Source organism: Homo sapiens, chromosome 6 (genome assembly GCF_000001405.40).
Source record: "Homo sapiens chromosome 6, GRCh38.p14 Primary Assembly".
NCBI classification, from domain to species: domain Eukaryota; kingdom Metazoa; phylum Chordata; class Mammalia; order Primates; family Hominidae; genus Homo; species Homo sapiens.
In genome coordinates, this window is record NC_000006.12 from 11,651,342 (window position 1) to 11,656,177 (window position 4,836).

The window sequence follows — 4,836 nt, forward strand, 5'->3', positions numbered from 1 at the left end:
ATCCAAACACATAAATGAGTAAGGCAGTGTGATAGTGTCATGGCAGAATTTTACACGTTTCATGGCCTGCAGATAAGAAGTGAAGAATATTCCCAGAAGCAGCCACAAACCTTTCCTTCCAGAACATTGTCCAGAACTGAAACATGGACCAATATTAAAACAGTCACTGGTAAGTGGATAGGCTAACTCTTCGATCAATCAGGCCTGCCCAAGGAAAAGGGAGAAGAGACAGCTTTCCTAGAAGCATAGGGCAAAGGTGGGAGATTTAGGTGTCTGAACGAAATCCAGTCTCTGTTTAAAGAAGAAGACAGAATGATGCTGAGAGACACCCAATAATATCCATCACCTCAGACAGACATGTCAGAGAGCTCACTCTGGCAGCAATGTAGGGATTGGGGATGATGGGGCAGATTGAAGGCAGGGACATAGTTGGGAGGTGCTGTGGGATTCAGGGAGGGGGCTGAGAGCTGGAACTGAGGCAGAGATACGTGCCAAAGAGAGGAGGGATCAGTTCTGAGAGCTGCAAGGAAGAAGAATTTATAACAGTGATTCTTAAGCACTGGGGGAACGTTGGCCCCAAATAATCTGATGCTAGCAGTTTTACATTAAATGTCAAGCTTGCCAACTTGATCCATTAGCATCAGTGTGACCTCCATGACCAGGAAGCTGGACTGGTCAGCCCTTTGTTGGGCCACTCTTGGTTCTGATGGAACCAGAGATTTTTCTTTTCTGGGGCGAGTTGGGGACAGAGTCTCGCTCTGTTGCTCAGGCTGGAGTGCAGTGGTATGTTTTCGGCTCACTGCAGCATCTGCCTCCCGGGTTCAAGCAATTCTCCTGCCTCAGCCTCCTGAGTAGCTGGGATTACAGGTGTGCGCAACCACGCCTGGCTAATTTTTGTGTTTTTAGTAGAGACGGGGTTTTGCCATGTTGGCTAGGCTGGTCTCCAACTCCTGACCTCAAGTGAGCTGCCCGACTCGGCCTCCCAAAGTGCTGGGATTACAGGTGTGTGCCACCACAACTAGGTAATTTTTTGTATTTTTAGTAGAGACAGGGTTTCACCACATTGGCCAGGCTGGTCTCGAACTCCTGACCTCAGGTGATCCACCCGCCTTGGCCTCCCAAAGTGCTGGGATTACAGGTGTGAGCCACCATGCCCAGCCGCACCAGAGATTTCTTTTTTTTGTTTGTTTTTGAGACAGTTTCACTCTGGAAGTTGCCCAGGCTGGAGTGCAATGGCGCAATCTCAGCTCACCACAACCTCCACCTCCCAGGTTCAAGCGATTCTCCTGCCTCAGCCTCCCCAGTAGCTGGAATTACAGGCATGTGCCACCATGCCTGGCTAATTTTGTATTTTTAGTAGAGATGGGGTTTCTCCATGCTGGTCAGGCTGGTCTCAAACTCCCGACCTCAGGTGATCCGCCGGCCTCGGCCTCCCAAAGTGCTGGGATTATAGGCATGAGCCACCGCGCCCAGCCATTGGAGATTTCTAACCACATCATGCAGGAGGAGGATGGATGAGAAGCAGCATTGATCAGGCACTGGCTACCTATATCACCCACTGCTTCTATAAGTACTCGGCTCAGCCCTCATAGTGATGCTCTGATGCCCATCAAGCAGATGGGGAAACTGAGGCATTTATGCAGTTCAATGTCATACCCCTGGAAAACAGCAGCTATGGGATTCCAGCTTGGGTTTGTGTGAGTCATAACATGACTCTGTCTTCCACCGGTGCTGCCATATTTGGTCCACACGTGAATTGCTGTGATTACCAGCTTTTTTCTTTCCTGGAGACCTTTGGTGGCCTCTATTTATGCAGCTGAAGGAGACACTTACGACCTCATTCCTGACAGTTTTGGGAGCTGACAGCAGAACATTCAAAGAATGACATCAAGTGGCTTTCCTCAGGGTCATTTCCTGCTAGTGATCTCTGCAAAGATCACATTCTTTAAGGATGTGTGGGGGTCAGAAACAGACCCTATTCTGTCAGGCGAGAGATGCCTGGAGCAGCTGTAATGGGCAGACGTGTGTGTGTGTGTGTCTGTGTGTCTGTGTGTGTGTGTGTGTGTGTGTGTGTGTGTGTGTACATCCTCTGTGACATGCTTTGCTGGTGAATACAACCCCTCCTCCCCCGGCCACACTTCGCTAAAAACAAACCAGGTCTGCTGGGGTGCATGACTCATGCTTGAACCGGAGTCTTCACCCTGAGACAATAATTCTCATTTTAAAAGCAAATGCTGAAGTCAACAGCTGCTGGGGTGACTTTGCCTATCTTAATTTGGCTTGTTAGAGACAGCACCTCCTTAGCTGCTTGAAGGAGAACTTAAGTGGACCTTCCATGACTCTGTTCCTTTTCCTATCCAGGGCTCACATAAGAGTTGTCTGCAGCTGGAGACATGAAACAGTGATAGGATTTGGAGTCAGGGTGTCCTGATTTCATGTGTGTGTTCTGCCCTTTTATTACCACACGGTGGTGGGCAATTTACCCACCTGAGCATGAGGTGCCTCACCTGTGGAATGGATGGAACCCTGCTGTATTGGAGAATGTTCACCCATTCAAGATAACGCATGTGAAGCACCTGCCATACAGTAGATGCTCAATCACGTGGATGTTAGCATTGACTTTGTTGCATGTTCTCTGCTTAGCTATCATTTCTCTCTTCCTCCTTTATTTTGCATTAATTTATTTCTGTAAAGGAGGAAGCTGCTGGGCACAGTGGCTCACACCTGAAGTCACCACTTTGAGAGGCCAAGGCGGGAGGATCACCTGAGGTCAGGGGTTCAAGACCATCCTGGGGAAAATAGTGAGACTACCGTCTCTAAAGAAACATTTTAACAAATTAGCCAGGCATGGAGGTGTGCTCCTTGTAGTCCCAGCTACTCGGGAGGCTGAGGCAAAAGGCTCACTTGAGCCCAGGATTTCAAGTTACGATTGTGTCACTGCACTCCAACCTGGGTAACAGAACAAGACCCTCTCTCAAAAAAATTTTTAAAGGAGGAAGTCATCAGTTATGTATATCACACAGATTCACTGGTGACTTTGCCACCTTTTCCATCCCTTTGAAGTTCTGCATCGCCGGTGGGAGGACGTTGGTCAGAGCAAGCAGAGTGTGGAGGCAGAAGCAGAGAGCGGAGGACCTCAACTCTCTCTCTCCCTGGGCTCTGCTCTAACTTGATAAGGGCCCACGGGAACATCACCTAAACTCTTGGGGGCCTGTGTTCATTTGTCTGTAAAAAGAGGGGCTTAAATTAAATGATCATTGAACCCTCCAAGCTCTTGCTGGGCTGTTTCTGGGGGCTCTTCTCTCTGGAGTATTGATTTGAATTTTGGTGCTGAGCCAGCCAGTGCACGAAATACTACCACTTTGCTCAGTCTCGTAGATGTTTTTCTGTATTTCCTATGTTCAGCATAAAGGGGGCCAGCCCACTACTGCCTTTAACATGAATTGCCCTTCGGAGTATGGAGCACGAGGCGAGCAGCGCTTGTCTCCGCTAATAGACCTACACATTTCCAGGAGAATTTTTTTTTTCTCCTTGCTACTCACAACACATCACTTGTTTATGTGAGGGTTTTTACACACAGCTGATTTATAAGGGATTAGATTTCTCTAAAACATAATCTGCGTTGGTTCTATTGGCCAGTTAAAATTGGTATCCCAGCACAGCTTGTTAAGACATTACATATCATTCCTCTTGTTTTTCTCACACTCAGGAATGATAGGTTAAGAAATATGATTCTAGTTCATAAAAGCCTGAGAGGGACTAACTGGGCTCTATTTATGTTTTATCCAAGAATGTGGAATTTGAAGCTTTTCTCAAAGTGAAAGTTGACCCACTGGACCCGTGTGCTTGGGCCAAATATGAGTATGAGAAACATTCTCAAACCTTTTTGGAATCCTAGGCCAGTAGACACTGAAGGGGCCTAAAGGATTTCTGGGCAATTCCTTCTCCTTCTCTCATGCCACAATAATTATTTGCACTTCTTGCCCTTCTTTTAGCTCAAAAGTGAACTCTGCATGAAGCATATTACCTTAGAGAAAATGTTCACTTAAAGAAAGCCACCTGTTCAGGAAAACAAATTGTCCCCAAGAGGCGTGGTGGAACGCAGGTGGGGAATTTTGTCTTCAATAAGGAGAAATTTAAATTCTCTATATTCTTAGAAATTTACCAAATTGGTTGCACTAGGGTTTTTTTTTTTTTTTTTTTTTTTTTTTTTTTTTTTTTGAGACGGAGTCTCGCTTTGTCACCCAGGCTGGAGTGCAGTGGCGTGATCTTGGCTCACTGCAAGCTCCGCCTCCCGGGTTCATGCCACTCTGCCTCAGCCTCCCGAGTAGCACCAGGGTTTTTAATATCCAGTTCAACCGGGAGACATTTGTACTCTGCGAAGGCTGAGGCGTCCGTGTAAATTTGGCCACCAGGTGGCACCAAATGTTTTCATTAGAAAAATTGCTGAGGGAAAGCCTGGTCCGCATTCTCTCTCCTAGTTAAAAGGAAAAAAAAAGAAAAAGAAAACCCTTTAAAGTGAGTGTTGTCGGTTCATTCACCCAAATTCAGGAAGCATGTGCCTTTCTTATTTGCTAGCGCTTTGGCAGTACACTGTGGCAGTTCAGGGTGAGTTATTTCCTTGAAGTTTGTTAAAAGGGAAACATGGATGAAATTCAAGACTTGAAACAAAGCTTTATTGGAGCTTTGCAGGACAATTAAAATCCAGTCTCTCAGCCAACAAACGGTTCCATCAACCCCCTTCTAGGCCTAGCAGGACACAGGATGCCCAAACAAAAGGCAGAACAGGGAGGCATGGCTGGGTTTTTCCTTTTATCATTTGCTGCACAATCTTAT

At 46.7% G+C, this 4,836-nt stretch overlaps 1 annotated feature.

The window, feature by feature from the left end:
• Positions 4,333-4,502: a silencer, noted in NCBI's record as "silent region_16917". NCBI's record gives its function as "represses an Ori minimal core promoter by ATAC-STARR-seq in GM12878 lymphoblastoid cells {active_cell/tissue: GM12878}" and the evidence as "EXISTENCE:reporter gene assay evidence [ECO:0000049][PMID:35858748]".